This window comes from Homo sapiens, chromosome 5 (assembly GCF_000001405.40).
Source record: "Homo sapiens chromosome 5, GRCh38.p14 Primary Assembly".
NCBI classification, from domain to species: Eukaryota; Metazoa; Chordata; class Mammalia; order Primates; family Hominidae; genus Homo; species Homo sapiens.
In genome coordinates this window covers 181,095,165-181,113,311 of record NC_000005.10, presented here as the reverse complement: position 1 = coordinate 181,113,311, position 18,147 = coordinate 181,095,165, and the positions used below count along the sequence as shown (strand labels likewise).

Below are 18,147 nucleotides of genomic sequence, written 5' to 3'. Positions count from 1 at the left end.
GGCACGGCTGCCAGCGTTCCCCTGTGCAGGCTTCCAGCTGGCTTATCTCTATGTTTCAAGCTCTATTTTTCAGGCTGCTTTTTGTTAGAAAAGAAATGATTTTGGAGGCTGCTTTTTGTTAGAAGGGAAATTCTGCCAAGGACTCTTTTGCCCTCACTATCTGCCTAAATAATTTCTTTCTACCTCCCATATCAGTATATTCACACGATGCAATTTTTTTTTTTTTTTTTTTTTTTTTTTTTGAGAGAAGGCTTCACTCTGTTGCCCAGGCTGGAATTCAGTGGTGGACTCACAGCTCACCGCAACCTTAAACTCCTGGGCTCAATGTTCCTCCCACCTCAGCCTCCCAAGTAGCTGGGACCACAAGTGGGAGCCACCATACATGGCAATTTTTAAAATGTTTTCATAGACGCAGTGTTCCCCACCCCCCGACCCGCCACCCAGCAGGCTGAGTGAAACGAGCCTCTCCAGTACCCACCCATGAAGGGGGTCAAAATCAAGGGAACAATCCCGTCTCATCAGCAGGTCTGAGTTTTTTTCCCAGTTCCAAATTAAATCAGCCCCCTTTGCGGGTGAGACTACTGGTTTTCAAGGCCGGCCCAGCCTAGGATATCAGGGCAGGGTGCCAGAATGACAGCAGCTCCAGGCAAGAAGGCTGCAAAGTCCTGCTGTTCTAACTAGAAGTTCTGGCAGCTTTTTATTATGAGTATATGTTTCTCCATTTGATGATTTGCCTTTGGTCAATTTTGAGAGCTCTGAAATGATCGCTCTTGACAATTTTGTCCCATTTTATACTTTTGGGTGTGGGAACAGATTTGCCAGCTTCTGCCCTCTGCCATGCCTAGAGGCCCACACTTCACTATTTTTGAGTGTATAACGTGGATAGACCATGTGCTGTGTACCCACACCCCTAGTGATCACATTTGAATTGTTTCCTTCCAGGTTTCCTATACTATGGTGATGTAAGGAACAACCATACATGTCTTGGAGCATATATATAGATGTTTCTGCCATGAAAGCATAATCTTTGAAACATTAACAACACATATACATACTGTGTATCTCATCAATATGTCATGTACTTATACAGCAAACACACGCAAAGGCGTATAGCTCATTGATGAGGGAATTGTCAGGATGGCGAGTCTGAGTCACGGGGAGTTAGAGAAGTGGGGTTATGCACTCAGGGAGGAAGAAGGATGGATACAAATGCTAAGTTTGATACAAAACAGGTTAATAAATTCCAAGGCAATAAACCTGTAGCTGCTGGGCTATCTTTTATACACAACAAGAATCATTTAGATCTCAACCCCACAGGGCTACACCTTATCATCCAATGTCTCAGTGAATTTTAACAAGTAGTAAACAGCAAGTCACAGAAAGCTACCTTCCCCTGGGGCTGAGGTTCTGCACGCAGCAGCAGCATCTCCTGGGAACTTGTTAGAAATGGAAATTCCTGGACCCCAGCCCAGACCTAGCAAACAGACTCTGAGGGGGAGCCCAGAGATAGGCGTTTTTATTTATGTTTTATTTTTTTGAGACAGGTTCTCCTCTGTGGCTCAGGCTGGAGTGCAGTGTCACAATCATAGCTCACTGCCGCTGTGGCTAAGTTTTTCTTTTATTTTTTGTGGAGACTAGGTTTTCCTCTTGTTTCCCGGGTGAGTCTTGAAATCCTGGCCTCAAGGGATCCTCTGGCCTGGACCTCCCAAAATGCTGGGATTTTAGGCGTGAGCCACCGCGCCTGGCCTGAGATTTTAAGTATCTTAACACACTCTCAGCCAGGTGTGTGGCTCATGCCTGTAATCCCAGCACTTTGGGAGGCTGAGGCAAGTGGATCACTTGAGCCCAGGAGTTCAAGACCCACCTGGGCAACATGGGGAGACCCCGGTCTCTATGAAAAATACAAAAATTAGCCAGGTGTGGTGGCAAGCAGCTGTGGTCTCAGCTACTGGGGAGGCTGAGGCAGGAGAATTGTTTGAGCCTAGGAGGTCAAGGCTGTAGTGAGCTGAGATGGCAACACTGCACTCCAGCCTGAGGAGAGCCCCCTGCAGTAGGGAGGGGGCTGTTGCAGTAGGAGGTCCATCCTTTGACAGCAAGAACCCCTGTCCCAGGCTACAGAAAGGGCTTCACATTTGCAGGGAGGCGTCAGCAAGGCTAGAAAGACCGCGGCAGGTGGGGCGGGATGAGCAGTGACAGATGGGACAGTGCACCGGGGAGTGTTCTCCTGAAACTGAGATTCTGAGGAGGGGCTGTTAGAGGGGTTCCCATGCTGCTCAAGGTGGGCCAAGGTCACAGCCTGTGGGGAACCAGGAAGCCTGACTAAAGTATGGACAAGTCAACAGGCATTTTATCCAGATTGGTCAGTGCGGACAAACAGTTCAGCTAGTCACTCATGAGTTGAAGATCGGGAATTTGGAGGGTCTGGATCTGGCCTCATCGTTGGTCAACAGGGGTTCACCATCCTGCCTTATCCATGTGGCAGGGGAAAGGCCTACAGGAGGGTGGGGCATTTCTTCTATTTTCTTTTTAATAATTTCAACTTTTATTTCGGATTCAAGGGGTATATCTGCAGGTTTGTTACCTGGGTATATTGTGTGGTGCTGAGGTTTGGGGTATGAACGATCCCCTCACCCAGGTGCTGAGCATAGCACCCTATAGCTTTGCAACCCTACCCTCTCCCTTCCTCCCTCCCCGCTAGGAGTCCCCAGCATCCCTTGTTGCCATCTTTACGTCCATGACTACCCAGTGTTTAGCTCCCACTTACAGGTGAGAACATGCAGTATTTGATTTTCTGTTCCTTCCTTAACTCACTTAGAATGACGGCTTCCACTGCATCCACGTTGCTGCAAAGGACATGATTTCGTTCTTTTTGATGGTTGTGTCATATCCCATGGTGTCTATGTACCACACTTTCTTTATGCAATCCACCGTGGACGGGCACCGTGGCTTCGCTATTGTGAACAGCACTGCGATGAAAATACAAGCGCCAGGTGTCTTTTTGGTGAAACAATTATTTCTTTTGGATGTAAACCCAGTAATGAGATTGCTGGGTCAAAGGGTAGTTCTAAGTTCCTCGAAAAATTTTCAAACTGCTTGAGAGGGTGGAGGATTTCTTAATAGTCGCCGTTTCCCAGGAGCTCAAGGCTCAGGTGGAAGTTTACTATTGTCAGCATCACACCTTGTTTGTCCATTCTCCACTGATGGACACTGGGGAAGTTTCCAGTTTGGATGTCTATGCAATAGAACAGTGCTGCTGGGAAGGTTCTTGCACGGGTCTTTGGTGACCATAGTGGGGTGGATGCTGCGATGCCCCATGCAGATCCCTCCACCCAGACCAGACGCACCCCTCGATTGGGAGCACAGCCTGCACTGAACCCCTCTGTAGGCATTGCCCTGGGGGAAGGGAAATGCCTCACCCAGGGCCACGCCTCCTCCCTGGAAGCAGCCAGGACCCAAAGACTGATTGGAACAGGGGCACAAAGGCCAGGCCCTCCCACCTCAGCCTCACCTCCACTGGACGTTCCTGCAGGCCCCTCCCAGCAGCCCTGGGGTGGGCTGAGGCCTCAGTGGTAACTGTCTTGCCGCTCAGCTCCTCCCTCTGCCCAGTCACGCCTCCCTCCCTCCCTTGAAGATGCTGATCCCAACAGCACTCCCCCAAAACCTTCCTGCACATGAAGCTCTGCTTCAAGGCCGGGCACGATGGCCCTTGAATCCCACAACTTTGAGGGGCCAAGGCAGGTGAATCGCTTGAGCCCAGGAGTTCAAGACCAGCCTGCACAACGTGACAAAACCCCTTACTTACAAAACAACAACAGGAAAAAAAACACAGAAAAAAAATTAGCATGGCCTGGTGGTGTGTGCCTATAGTCTCAGCTACTCGGAGGGCTGAGGTGGGAGGATCGCTTGAGTCTAGGAGGAGGAGGCTGCAGTGACCTGTGATCGAGCCGCTGCATTCCAGTCTGGACAACAGAGCAAAACCCTTCCAAAAAACACAAACAAACAAAATGAAAAAACCAAGTCTCTGCTTCAGAGTCATCTGCTGGGAGCCCAACCTAAGGGTCAGGCGTGAGTTTCCAGTGGGCATCATGCAAGTCAAGGTGCTGGGGCGTTGTCTGCATGAGGTTCCCACTGTGGGTCGTTAGAGCCAGACCAGAGCATGCGTCCAGGTCAGCCCCAGCACACCCGAGGAGCCTCGGTGTTTTCACCAGTAAACAAGACAACAGAACCTACCGTGCAATGACCACGAAGAGTCTAGGAGTTGGCACCTGCCAGCCCAGGGCACAGTAATTCAGGATTGCTAGGGTTAAGTATGGACACTGTCCCGCAGAGGCAGGTGGGCGTGGCCACGAGGGGTGCCTGGGGGTAGGGGCACTAGTACCTGAGGGTCTGTCTGGTGGGACCCTCCCACTTCCTACCCTGCCTGGTTTCCTCATCTGCAAATGAGCTGATCATAGAATCTTCTTTCTAGGTCTGGACTGAGGGCCAAGTGCATGGAGATTGTGAAGGAGCGTGCGGAACTGGGTGGGCCTACTGAGCGCTTGGAAAGGGCGGCTTCCTCCAGGGCAAGCCTGTCTCCCAGGGTCTGGAGGGCCTCAGGGCTGCAAACCACCCCCTCAAATCAGCCTCCTCTGATGGGCTCGGGAGGCACCTAGTGCTCCACCCAGACGGGGTCTTCTGGGAGAGGGGTGAAGGGGGTTGTTGGGACCCCATCTGGCAGTTGAGAAACTTGCAAAATATCAGCCTACAATGAAGTCTTTGGGGCTCAAACTCAGAAGAGATCATGTAGCTGGTGGAAGGCAGTTGAGTTTTGGAGTCAGGACACCTGCACCTGAATCCCACTTGTATTTATGTCACCTCTTAGCTGTGTGACTGCAGGCAAGTTAAATGTCTCCATCAAGGGTACAAGGATAATGAAGCCTACCACATGGGGTTTTAGTTAAGATTAGAGTTTGGAAGTTCACGGTGAATGCCTGGCGTGTAGCAGGTGCTTAGATAAGGAGCAGCTAGCACTAACAAGCATCAGGATTTTTTTTTTTATAGGATGTAAATTTTCAGATCCAAATGCCAGCACATGCATTCTGGCCAATGGAACATAAGGAAAATATTTTGCATTGAGGCTATACTACGAAAGCCAGGACACAAGGTCACAGGGATCAACCAGGGGCCACAACAACTTCTGAAAAAAATAAGTTTTTAAAGAGCAGCCCTGACATTTGGAAGCTGGCGTGGCGCTCACAGCCGCAGCATGCTGTTCTCCTGCTGGACATAAGCAGCCCCACAGAACGCCAGCCCCAGACAGAGCTTGGAGACAAAGATGAAAGGAGACCAAGCCAGGCCACTTCATCACCATATCTAAGCACAGATGGGAGCAAGTTGACTGCACCACCCACAAAGCAGCAAACACCCACTCCCAGCCGAAACCTGTGGCTGTTACGTCTTTGCCAATTACAGCTTTATCTTCCCTCTAGTCTTCCCTTCTCATAGGTTAGATATCATTTATCGAGACACCCAGTCATGGAACCGCCCTCACTTTCTAACAGCATCCAGTTTAAAGCAAACTCAGACCCTGCCCGCAAATGCCCAGCTAAAGTCCAAATCCTATTAATACCTTCTAAGACCGTCTTCCCGGGAGACACCCACAATTCCCTGAAGTGTGTGTTCTCCTTCACTGCAATGAGCGATAATCTGTACTTGTTCAACTGCCTGTGCGTCCCTGGTGGTCTTTGGCTGGAGGCTGCTTGTACGTCCCTGGTGGTCTTTGGCTGTAGGGCATCAGTAGTTCCTAAGCTTCGGGAAGTATTATATGTTCGCTGCTTTTGATATCCCTTATCTGTTACTCATTAATGATCAGTTGTTCAAAATGACGTGCAAAAAAGCCAGTGGGGTGGGGTGGCGCATGCCTGTATTCCCAGCTACTGCTTGAGCCCGGGAGTTAGGGTACAGCCTGGGCAATGCGGCAAGACCCCATCTCTAATAATAAACCACAACCTCTCCTTACTCAGTGAAGTCCCATAGACTTGTCCAGAGCACTGAAGAGGCTGTGTCCTCTCAGAAGGGTGGGCTGCAGCTTTGAAAAGAGACAGAAAGGAGGCGGAGCTCCTACAGACACCCAAGGAGGCGGGCACAGCAGGGGTGCCCTGGAAGCAACACCCAAGGAATCCTAAGAAAGGAGTGACGGATCTGCTGCCCCTGCCTGGTTCCTTGCATGGTCTTGTTCATCACTGGACATTCCTGTGAAATTGCACCAAGTGACCCATCTAAAACTCAGTCACAGCCTGCGGCTTTTGTGGCAGCCATGATGAAAGCCAGACAGGCTCTAGGGGCGCAGTGGTGAGCAGACAGGCCAGGTCCCTGTGGTCATAAGCTTACAGTCTAAGGGCAGGAGACAGTGACGAACCAAGTGTTACAGTTTAACTTTATCACTGTTAAAAATTAAGGGATGGCCAGGTGCAGTGGCTCACACCTGTAATACCAGCACTTTGGGAGGCCAAGGTGGGCAGATCACTTGAGGTCAGGAGTTCAAGACCAGCCAGCCAATATGGCAAAACCCATCTCTACTAAAAACACAAAAATTTGCGAGGCGTGGTGGTGTGCACCTGTGATCCCAGCTACTCAGGAGGCTGAGGCAGGAGAATCTCTTGAACCTGGGAGACAGAGGTTGTAATGAGCTGAGATCACAGCACTGCACTCCAGCCTGGGTGACAGAGCGAGACCCTGTCTCAAAAAAAAAAGAAAAATTAAGGGACAACCTCAGTGAAAATATTTGCAACACATATAACAGATTAGGAGATAATACACACATTACATATAAAATATAACAAATGTCTGGAATAAGTAAATATTTATATTTATATATTAAACACATGTAAAGAACTTCTAAAAATTGGTTAAACCATTAAAACCTCCATGAGGGAAAATAGCAAAGGATATGAACAGGCAATTCCAGAATAAAATAAGTGAATGTATAAAAAATACACTCAGTTAAAACAATAGTAAGACATTTCTTGCTTAGCCAATTGCCAATGTTGCAATGATTTATAGAACCCACCAAGGGTAAGGAATTGGCGGCCTAGCACCCTGCTTGTGGGAGCACAAGGGGCTCACCTGCTAGAGGGCAGTTTGGGAGGAATTATAGACATGAAAGAAACCTTTCTTTTACACCAGCCTTCCAGGGCTAGGAAAGTCTTCTGAAAATCCCAGTACAAAGAAATCTGCACAAAGATAAGCCTCCATGTATTACTAACTGTAATAACTTTGGTCCTGGTGCAGGAAGAACCAAGAAGATCAATGGAGTGGAACTGAAGCAATAAAGAGACTCAAATGTGTTTGGGAATTGAGCACATGGTAATGGTGTAGTTTCATTGGAGAGAATAGAGTTACCTGTGTAATAGAAAACCAAGTCAAAAGCAAGAAAAATTAATGGTGAAGATAATTTTGTGGTTACAAAAAAAAAAAAAAAGGGAAGTGGGACTGACTGCATGGGACTGGAGGGAGAGAGGTGGGTTAGAGCAAGTTTGGTTTTTTTCCCTTTCCCTTGGTCAGCAAACTACCCTCAAGCCAAACCCAGCCTGCAATCTATTTTTCTACCGCCCAGTGAGCTAAGAACATTTTTTACACTTTTTACTGGTTGAAAAAATTAAAAGAATAATATTTCATGACATGTGGAAATTAGATGAAATTTGAATGTTGGTGTCTGAGTCAAGTCCCATTGGCACACACGTCCCATTGGCACACAGCGCCTCCCTCTCGTTATGTGTCACCTTTACTGGCTTTGGCACCAAAAGGGCAGACGTGGGTACTTCCGACAAAACTGAAAAGATTCCATACGTGGCCCTTGCAGAGAAAGCTTGCAGACCCCTGCTTTAGAGAGAGGAGGTATGAGAGTTTAGGCTTTGGTGTGGGTGGCTGGGGAGGTCCCCTGGTTCAGGAAATGGTGATTCCAAGGGCGGTTGCTGTCTGGGTTCTGGTGCTGTCCTCCTCCTCTGTCCACCCCATATCTAATGCATTCTGAGTGCTCGCTGGGCAGTCAGTGCAGGGCGGGACAACAGTCACGTGTTGCTTCCCAAGACATACAGTCACGGGCCCCTTAACAACAAGGATGCATTCTGGGAAATGGTGATTAGGTGGCTCTTGGAAGGTGCACCTCATTTACCCCTAGGCTGGGTGGCATAGCCCATCGCTCCCACGAGTGATGTCTGTGCTACGACAGTACCACGGCTATGACATCCCTAGGCCATAGGAATTCTTCAGCTCCATCATAGTCATGGGACCACTGTCATGCACGTGTCCCTCCTTGCCTGGAAGGTTGCTGTGCAGTGCATGACGGCACTTCCATGTCAGCGGGTGCCTCGCTGGCCCATCTCCTGCCCCTGCTCACTCTGTCTGCCACCTTCCAGCAGCTCCCCGCCCTAAAGCCATCCTGATGCTGCTTTTCCGCCATTTCTTCCTCTGTGCATGTTACCCCAAACTCCACAGGGGCTGCTGCTTGCTTGACATGCATTCTGGAACCTTCCGGGATCCTGTCCCAGTGCCCCCGAGCAGAAGCGGCAAGCAAGGGCCAACTCAGCCCAGGGCTGCCTCTGTCCAAGGCCCTCTGTCCAGGTCGACAGGCATCTTCCCCTCCCCAGGGGGAGTGCAGGCTCCAGATGAGTTTCTGTCTCCCCAGCTGAGAACCTTTGTCTTGGTTCGGGTTGCTGTAACACAATACCATATGCCAGGCTGCTCAACGAACATTGATTTCTCACAGTTTTGCAGGCTGGAAGTCTAGATCAGGGTGCAGCACACTGGAGTTCTTGGTAAGGATCCTCTTCCTGATTTCTGCCCAGCTGCCTTCTCACTGTATCCCCACGAGAGAGGGAGAGGAACCAGCTCTCAGTCTCAGTTCTGTCTCCCTGTGAATCTGAGAGTGCGCTGAGGCCAGGAACCTTTGTCCCCAGGCGCAGCTACTCCAGAGGCTGAGGTGGGAGGACTGCTTAGGTCCAGGAGGTTGATGCTGCAGGGAGCTGTGACTGCACTCCAGCGGCGGAGACAGAGCAAGACCCTGTCTCAAAAGGAAGGAAAGAAGGAGAAGAAAGAAAAGGAAGTTTTCATGCCCGACGCGGTAGCATAAGGGGGCATGGGAGACCGGACGAGAGGGTGTGGCAGCGACCGCAGGGAGAGGAGACGGCGGACGCGGAACTGTGCGGGGTTGGCAGTGGGCTTGGGGGTGGCACAGCGGGGACGCGCTGGCACCGGTTTCTGAGAGGGGACATTCGGGAGAAGCTGCCTGGGGAATGGGAGGCCACGAGTTCGGGCGTGGAGACGGAGCTTCAGGGCCTGGAGAAAGGGGAGTGGAAATGACGGAGGAAGTATCCGTATCGCATCCTCGGTTTGCCCGAGAGATGTCTGTGCCGCCACGTTTACCGCAGCGCTGTTCACAATAGCCCAGATCTGCGAGCAAAGGCAGCGGCCGTCGGTGCAGGAGTGGGCGGAGGCACCGAGGTGGATGCGCAGCAGAGCACCACTCAGCCGCAAGAACACGATAATCCCGGCCGGGCGCGGGGGCTCACGCCTGTAATCCCAGCACTTTGGGAGGCCGAGGCGGGCGGATCACGAGGTCAGGAGATCGAGACCAGCCTGACCAACATGGTGAAACCCCGTCTCTACTAAAAATACAAAAAATTAGGGCGCGGTGGCGGGCGCCTGTAGTCCCAGCTACTCGGGAGGCTGAGGCAGGAGAATGGCGTGAACCCGGGAGGCGGAGCTTGCAGTGAGCCGAGATCACCCCACTGCACTCTGGCCTGGATGACAGTGCGAGACTCCGTCTCAAAAAAAGAAAGAAAAGAAAAGAAAAGAAATACCTGAGGCTGGGTAATTGATAAGAAAAGAGGCTTAATTGGCTCATGGCTCTGCAGGCTGTGCAGGAAGCATACCGCCAGCTTCTGCTTCTGGCGAGGCTTCAGGAAGCTTCCAATCACGGCAGAAGGCAAAGAGGGAGCAGGCACATCACATGGCGAAGGTGGGAGCAAGAAGGCGGGGGGTGCCACACACTTTTTAAAACCTTATCAGGGGAGAACTCATAATAGGGAGGACAGCACCAAGGCCGTGGTGCTAAACCATTCATGAGAAATCCATCCTCATGATCCAATAACCTCCCACCAGGCCCCACCTCCAATATTGGGAATTACATTTCAACGTAAATTTTGACGAGGACATAAATACAAACTATATTACTACCCTTAAACAATTGGAAATTGCTTTGTTTTTGAGAAATAAAAGAATGCTGAATTCTGTTCTGTTGCTTTGGTTGTACACTTTAGTGAAAATTGAAAGGTTATGTTAATTTCTGAAGAATTATAATGATAAAAAACGGTGCAGACACAACCTGCACTTTGCAAGCATTGCAGACTTAAGTTTTTTGGGGGAAACTATACATAATTAAATAGTTTCCCAGTGAGCTCAGCCAGCCCATTCAGGGCAGTGCCCAGACATATGCTTGTGGCAAACTCTAGCCAAGCAACTTACCTACAGGAGAAAAAAAGACTCACTGTTTCAAGAGGAGCTGTGGTGCTTCTCTCCTTTCTCCTCTTTTTCTTGTATAAACCCTACATTCACCTGTATTCAACAAAATCAGCCAACTAATTGGTTTCTGTGTGTGTATTCAAGAAAATCAGCCAACTAATTGGTTTCTATGTGTGTATTCGAGAAAATCAGCCGACTAATTGGTTTCTATGTGTGTGTATTCGAGAAAATCAGCCAACTAATTGGTTTCTGTGTGTTTGTGTTCAAGTGAACGTCCACATTCACTCAGCTGTGCTGTGTCTCTGAGCTACTCTCTGACTCTGCAACCCTCCCCTTTTAAATGGTTGCACTGGACTCTGTATTCTTGTGCGCTCATACCCATTACCAAGCTCAAAGGGACCCACGGAAGAAGCTCAGAACTCTTATGAGAAATAAAATACCGCCGTGTGTCGTGACTAATTATGATGGCAGAAAAGCATCAAGCCGGTTTCCGTAGTGTAGTGGTTATCACGTTCGCCTCACACGCGAAAGGTCCCCGGTTCGAAACCGGGCGGAAACAGTTCCTTCTACTTTTCACTTAACTGCTTCAAATTTATTACACCGAAGACTAGCCTAGAACATCCCACCAATATCTCCACCCACTTAAGGAGAAAAGGCTATCAAGGGTATTTATACCGTTGCCTTTCCGCCGCAATCATTGGCATCTGGGAAGAACGGAACCCACCTCACTTGCTGTTGACACCAGCATGACGAACTCCCCACAAAGCCCGTCCAGTGGATGGATGCACAATGCCAAATGGAATTCCCGATGCCGGGAAAGCGTGGGGCCCAAGGCGACTTCCTCCTTTTGTAACCCATGAAGGGACAAAAATGGAGGAATCACAACAAGCTGGCAGCGGTGGGATTCGAACCCACGCCTCCGAAGAGACTGGAGCCTTAATCCAGCGCCTTAGACCGCTCGGCCACGCTACCCTCCTTCTGGGCTTCACCTACATCTTTTCCTTCCTTATAAAACATCCCCAGGGTCCCCGGGCCAACAAGGCGTCGAGGCGAATCCACAGGGCATCGCAGAACCACCGCCTTCCAGCAGGATTCGCTGGGCCAGAGGCCCCGGCTGGGAAACGGCTCCACCAGCGCCCCGGCAGAGAAGGTTCGCGAAGCGCAGGTCTCGGGATTTGCTTTGGGGGCCACTCAGAAAGTCACCCACATTGGCCCTCTTTGGGGAGGCGGCGTGAGAGGAGGGGAAGCCTTCTGCACTCTTTAAAGAAAGATAAAAATAAATAAACCAGGGCAGACCCGGTCCGCTCGGGGCCGCCTAGTCCTGCAGCCGCCGCGCCGCACTCCACAGGCAGCAGCGCACAGGGCGCGACTCCGGGGAGGCCGCGGCCCGCGGGGTCCGTCCGTCCTGCGGTCCCCAGCCCCGTCCCCTGGAGCTTGGCGCCCGCTCTGCCCGGATCCGCCCCGGCCCGGGGCTCCTGCCCGCCGTCCAGTCCGCGCAGGGACCCCGAGCAGCCTCGCCGTGCACGGCCCCGCCGGGCTCAGTTCTGGGCTCGCGCTTCCACCGCCCCCGCCTGGCTCCCAGTTTCTTTCTGTCTCCCGCGGAACCGACCTCCTTCCCCCGAATCTCCGCCAGCTCTTCTCCCCCTCCCCCTACGCCCCGTGCTTTGCTCTCCCGCTTCTCGCCTCGCCCGCGGCTGGGGGAAGGATAAGAGGGGAGGGGAGGGCAAGGGAGGGCAGGGGAGGGGTGGGGAGGGGAGGGCAGGGGAGGGGTGGGGAGGGGTGGCGAGGGGAGGGGAGGGCAGGGGAGGGGTGGCGAGGGGAGGGGAGGGCAGGGGAGGGGTGGGGAGGGGTGGGGAGGGGTGGGCAGGGGAGGGGTGGGGAGGGGTGGGGAGGGGAGGGCAGGGGAGGGGTGGGGAGGGGAGGGGAGGGCAGGGGAGGGGTGGGGAGGGGAGGGGAGGGGACGGGACCCCAAGGCCGAAGCGCCCCGGGGGGCGGAGGTGCACCCGGATTTCCAGTCGCGGGTCCCACGCGGCCACCTCCAGTCCCGCCCGTCAGCGCCGACTTCATGAGCAACCCGAGCCTGCTGCAGGACAGCGAGGACTTTTGCGGACGCCGGGACGCCGCGCCGCAGCACCCACCCGGGACCCCGCCTCCGCCGGGCAGCAGCGCAGGGGCAGCTCGTCCCGTCGCACCGCGTCGCGCAGCCTGTCCCACGCCGACCTCAGCACCAGGGCCGACGAGAGCTCGGCGGAGAAGCGGCTCGCGCTGTCGCAGATCTGCGAGTGGATGGTCAAGAGCGTGCCCTGCTCCCAGGGCGACAGCAACAGCTCGGCGGGCTGCAGGAATTCACTTCGTCATCTTCTGTCCCTACACAGCAAGCTGACTCGCGCGCAGAATGAAGGAACTGGAAAAAGTGCTCGGTGGACGCTGGATCCAGAGGGCGGCAAGGGTGGGAGATCTCTTAGGACAAGAGCTGCATCCATGGACAGCAGCAGCAAATGCGCTCGGAGCCTAAGTCAAGCTGCCACGAAAAAAGCATCCTGCAGTCTAGCCAGGGGGGTGCCGGGGACAGCCCTGGACCCCAGTTTTCCAGATGGCCTGCAAGCCCTGGCTCTCACAGCAATGATGACTTTAATAGCTGGAGTGCATTTCGCCCTGGAACTAGCTCAAATGCTAGTACTGTTACTGGGAGACTTTCACCCATTATAGTCAAAGGAGACTATCTTGGAGATGGGGACGCACATTCTGTGGGGTACCCGCCATCTGCGGCAAAGATGCCCCTACTCCACCCAGTCTGAGACAAGCAATCCTGAAACGTGGAAAGCTTTCTGAGTGATCTCAGTCTTATCTCCTCACCAACATCATTAACTGTGTCCACCCAGTCCTCACCTGGCACCATGATGCAGCAGACGCCAGCTACTCCTTTGTGCCACCAAACACCAGTCTGAATTCGCCCAGCCAAACTGCAAAAAACAGACGTAGGGCCAGTCCAACATGAGCCCTTTGCCCCAGATGCAAACACTCCAGGAGCACAAATCAAGTTACGGAGCTGTGAGTCCGTGTAACTGTGTAGCGGGACTCCTGGAGGAGATGCTGACTTCTGACTCTCCTCCCCATAATGACATTATGACACCAGCTGATCCTGGAGTAGCCCAATCCAACAGTCGGTTTCTGGGCCAGAATACCATGATGGGCCTTAATTCAGCCATGTCAACCTATGGCAGCCAGGCATCTGGATACAAAATGAGGCATCCCAGCTCCCATATCCACCCTGGGCATGCTCAGCAGACATATGCAGCTTACGGCCGTGCCCTGTCTCACACGGAAAACACCAAGCCCCACACCTCAGGTGTGAACCAACTGACCCCAGTGAAGACACCTTTGCAAGTGCCTCTGCCCCACCCCATGCAGATGAGTGCCCTGGGGGGCTACTCCTCGGTGAGCAGCTGCAGTGGTTATGGCAGAATGGACCTTCTCCACCAGGAGAGGCTTCCAAGTGACTTGGACGGCATGCTCACTGAGCCCTTGGACTGTGACATGGAATCCAAATCTTCATTTGGAATGACCTCATGGATGGAGACACGCTGGATTTTTCACCTTGGCAATGTTTTGCCCAGCCAAAGCTCCTCACACAGTGTCAAGACAAGGACACATAGCTGCGTGTCAGGCTGAGAACTGGTGAGCCCGCTACACTTAAAAGTACTTCATCGGCTGGGCACAGTGTCTCCCGCCTGTAATCCCAGCACTTTGGGAGGCTGAGGTGGGCGGATCACGAGGTCAGGAGATCGGGACCAACCTGACCAACGTGGTGAAACCCTGTCTCTACAAAAAATACAGAAATTGCCTGGGTGTGGTGGCACGTGCCTGTAATCGCGGGTACTCTGGAGGCTGAGGCAGAAGAATCGCTTGAACGTGGGAGGCGGAGATTGCAGTGAGCCCAGATGGCACCACTGCACTCCAGCCTGGAAACAAAGCAAGACTCCGTCTCAAAGAAAAAAAAAACAACTTCAGATTGTCTGACAACAGGAACTGAGAGTCCCCTCCCCTCGCCTGCCCTCCCCTCGCCTGCCCTCCCCTCCCCTCGCCTGCCCTCCCCTCCCCTCCCCACCCCTCCCCTCCCTACCCCTCCCCTGCCCTCCCCTCCCCACCCCTCCCCTCGCCTGCCCTCCCCTCCCCTCCCCACCCCTCCCCTGCCCTCCCCTCCCCTCCCCACCCCTCCCCTCGCCTGCCCTCCCCTCCCCTCCCCACCCCTCCCCTCGCCTGCCCTCCCCTCCCCTCCCCACCCCTCCCCTCCCTTGCCCTCACCTCCCCTCCCCACCCCTCCGCACCCCTCCTCACCCCTCCCCTCCCTACCTCTCCCCACCCCTCCCCTCCCCACCCCTCTGCTCCCCACCCTTCCCCTCCTCACCCCTCCCCTCCCTACCTCTCCCCACCCCTCCCCTCCCCACCCCTCTGCTCCCCACCCTTTCCCTCCCCGCCCCACCCCTCCCCACCCGTCCCCTCCCCTCCCCTCCCCTCCAGTCCCTTCCCCCAGCCGCGGGCGAGGCGAGAAGCGGGAGAGCAAAGCACGGGGCGTAGGGGGAGGGGGAGAAGAGCTGGCGGAGATTCGGGGGAAGGAGGTCGGTTCCGCGGGAGACAGAAAGAAACTGGGAGCCAGGCGGGGGCGGTGGAAGTGCGAGCCCAGAACTGAGCCCGGCGGGGCCGTGCACGGCGAGGCTGCTCGGGGTCCCTGCGCGGACTGGACGGCGGGCAGGAGCCCCGGGCCGGGGCGGATCCGGGCAGAGCGGGCGCCAAGCTCCAGGGGACGGGGCTGGGGACCGCAGGACGGACGGACCCCGCGGGCCGCGGCCTCCCCGGAGTCGCGCCCTGTGCGCTGCTGCCTGTGGAGTGCGGCGCGGCGGCTGCAGGACTAGGCGGCCCCGAGCGGACCGGGTCTGCCCTGGTTTATTTATTTTTATCTTTCTTTAAAGAGTGCAGAAGGCTTCCCCTCCTCTCACGCCGCCTCCCCAAAGAGGGCCAATGTGGGTGACTTTCTGAGTGGCCCCCAAAGCAAATCCCGAGACCTGCGCTTCGCGAACCTTCTCTGCCGGGGCGCTGGTGGAGCCGTTTCCCAGCCGGGGCCTCTGGCCCAGCGAATCCTGCTGGAAGGCGGTGGTTCTGCGATGCCCTGTGGATTCGCCTCGACGCCTTGTTGGCCCGGGGACCCTGGGGATGTTTTATAAGGAAGGAAAAGATGTAGGTGAAGCCCAGAAGGAGGGTAGCGTGGCCGAGCGGTCTAAGGCGCTGGATTAAGGCTCCAGTCTCTTCGGAGGCGTGGGTTCGAATCCCACCGCTGCCAGCTTGTTGTGATTCCTCCATTTTTGTCCCTTCATGGGTTACAAAAGGAGGAAGTCGCCTTGGGCCCCACGCTTTCCCGGCATCGGGAATTCCATTTGGCATTGTGCATCCATCCACTGGACGGGCTTTGTGGGGAGTTCGTCATGCTGGTGTCAACAGCAAGTGAGGTGGGTTCCGTTCTTCCCAGATGCCAATGATTGCGGCGGAAAGGCAACGGTATAAATACCCTTGATAGCCTTTTCTCCTTAAGTGGGTGGAGATATTGGTGGGATGTTCTAGGCTAGTCTTCGGTGTAATAAATTTGAAGCAGTTAAGTGAAAAGTAGAAGGAACTGTTTCCGCCCGGTTTCGAACCGGGGACCTTTCGCGTGTGAGGCGAACGTGATAACCACTACACTACGGAAACCGGCTTGATGCTTTTCTGCCATCATAATTAGTCACGACACACGGCGGTATTTTATTTCTCATAAGAGTTCTGAGCTTCTTCCGTGGGTCCCTTTGAGCTTGGTAATGGGTATGAGCGCACAAGAATACAGAGTCCAGTGCAACCATTTAAAAGGGGAGGGTTGCAGAGTCAGAGAGTAGCTCAGAGACACAGCACAGCTGAGTGAATGTGGACGTTCACTTGAACACAAACACACAGAAACCAATTAGTTGGCTGATTTTCTCGAATACACACACATAGAAACCAATTAGTCGGCTGATTTTCTCGAATACACACATAGAAACCAATTAGTTGGCTGATTTTCTTGAATACACACACAGAAACCAATTAGTTGGCTGATTTTGTTGAATACAGGTGAATGTAGGGTTTATACAAGAAAAAGAGGAGAAAGGAGAGAAGCACCACAGCTCCTCTTGAAACAGTGAGTCTTTTTTTCTCCTGTAGGTAAGTTGCTTGGCTAGAGTTTGCCACAAGCATATGTCTGGGCACTGCCCTGAATGGGCTGGCTGAGCTCACTGGGAAACTATTTAATTATGTATAGTTTCCCCCAAAAAACTTAAGTCTGCAATGCTTGCAAAGTGCAGGTTGTGTCTGCACCGTTTTTTATCATTATAATTCTTCAGAAATTAACATAACCTTTCAATTTTCACTAAAGTGTACAACCAAAGCAACAGAACAGAATTCAGCATTCTTTTATTTCTCAAAAACAAAGCAATTTCCAATTGTTTAAGGGTAGTAATATAGTTTGTATTTATGTCCTCGTCAAAATTTACGTTGAAATGTAATTCCCAATATTGGAGGTGGGGCCTGGTGGGAGGTTATTGGATCATGAGGATGGATTTCTCATGAATGGTTTAGCACCACGGCCTTGGTGCTGTCCTCCCTATTATGAGTTCTCCCCTGATAAGGTTTTAAAAAGTGTGTGGCACCCCCCGCCTTCTTGCTCCCACCTTCGCCATGTGATGTGCCTGCTCCCTCTTTGCCTTCTGCCGTGATTGGAAGCTTCCTGAAGCCTCGCCAGAAGCAGAAGCTGGCGGTATGCTTCCTGCACAGCCTGCAGAGCCATGAGCCAATTAAGCCTCTTTTCTTATCAATTACCCAGCCTCAGGTATTTCTTTTCTTTTCTTTTCTTTCTTTTTTTTTTGAGATAGAGTCTGGCTCTGTCGCCCAGGCTGGAGTGCAGTGGCATGATCTCTGCTCACTGCAACCTCTGCCTCCTGGGTTCAAGAGATTCTCCTGCCTCAGCCTCCTGAGTAGCTGGGATTACAGGTGCACGCCACCACACCTGGCTAATTTTTGTATATATTTTTTTACATTTTATTTATTATACTTTAAGTTCTAGGGTACATGTGCACAACATGCAGGTTTGTTACATATGTATACATGTGCCATGTTGGTGTGCTGCACCCATTAACTCGTCATTTACATTAGGTATATCTCCTAATTCTATCCCTCCCCCCTCCCCCCACCCCACGACAGGCCCCAGTGTGTGATGTTCCCCTTCCTGTGTCCAAGTGTTCTCATTGTTCAATTCCCACCTATGAGTGAGAACATGCGGTGTTTGGTTTTCTGTCCTTGCGACAGTTTGCTCAGAATGATGGTTTCTAGCTTCATCCATGTCCCTACAAAGGACATGAACTCATCCTTTTTTATGGCTGCATAGTATTCCATGGTGTATATGTGCCACATTTTCTTAATCCAGTCTATCATTGATGGACATTTGGGTTGGTTCCAAGTCTTTGCTATTGTGAATAGTGCCACAATAAACATATGTGTGCCTGTGTATTTATAGCAGCATGATTTATAGTCCTTTGGGTATATGCCCAGTAATGGGCTGGCTGGGTCAAATAGTATTTCTAGTTCTAG

The 18,147-nt window shown here is 52.6% G+C and overlaps 4 non-coding genes and 1 pseudogene across 4 annotated transcripts, besides 2 other annotated features; 3 read left to right on the top strand and 2 right to left on the bottom strand.

Annotated features, from left to right (window-relative positions):
- Nucleotides 7,950-8,449: an enhancer, noted in NCBI's record as "H3K4me1 hESC enhancer chr5:180531863-180532362 (GRCh37/hg19 assembly coordinates)". NCBI's record gives its function as "activates a minimal SCP1, AML or CMV promoter by ChIP-STARR-seq in naive H9 embryonic stem cells {active_cell/tissue: H9 hESC(naive)}" and the evidence as "EXISTENCE:reporter gene assay evidence [ECO:0000049][PMID:30033119]".
- Nucleotides 8,450-8,951: an enhancer, noted in NCBI's record as "H3K4me1 hESC enhancer chr5:180531361-180531862 (GRCh37/hg19 assembly coordinates)". NCBI's record gives its function as "activates a minimal SCP1, AML or CMV promoter by ChIP-STARR-seq in naive H9 embryonic stem cells {active_cell/tissue: H9 hESC(naive)}" and the evidence as "EXISTENCE:reporter gene assay evidence [ECO:0000049][PMID:30033119]".
- TRV-CAC1-3 (tRNA-Val (anticodon CAC) 1-3) lies at nt 10,987-11,059 on the top strand. The gene has a single exon. It is a non-coding gene; the product is annotated as a tRNA-Val (tRNA).
- A 331-nt stretch (nt 11,060-11,390) lies between these two features.
- TRL-AAG1-2 (tRNA-Leu (anticodon AAG) 1-2) lies at nt 11,391-11,472 on the bottom strand. Its single transcript has one exon. It is a non-coding gene; the product is annotated as a tRNA-Leu (tRNA).
- On the top strand, nt 12,522-14,536 carry FOXO1B (forkhead box O1B (pseudogene); annotated as a pseudogene).
- On the top strand, nt 15,757-15,838 carry TRL-AAG1-1 (tRNA-Leu (anticodon AAG) 1-1). Its single transcript has one exon. It is a non-coding gene; the product is annotated as a tRNA-Leu (tRNA).
- Nucleotides 15,839-16,169: 331 nt separating this feature from the next.
- TRV-CAC1-2 (tRNA-Val (anticodon CAC) 1-2) lies at nt 16,170-16,242 on the bottom strand. The gene has a single exon. It is a non-coding gene; the product is annotated as a tRNA-Val (tRNA).
- Between the last annotated feature and the right edge of the window lie 1,905 nt (nt 16,243-18,147).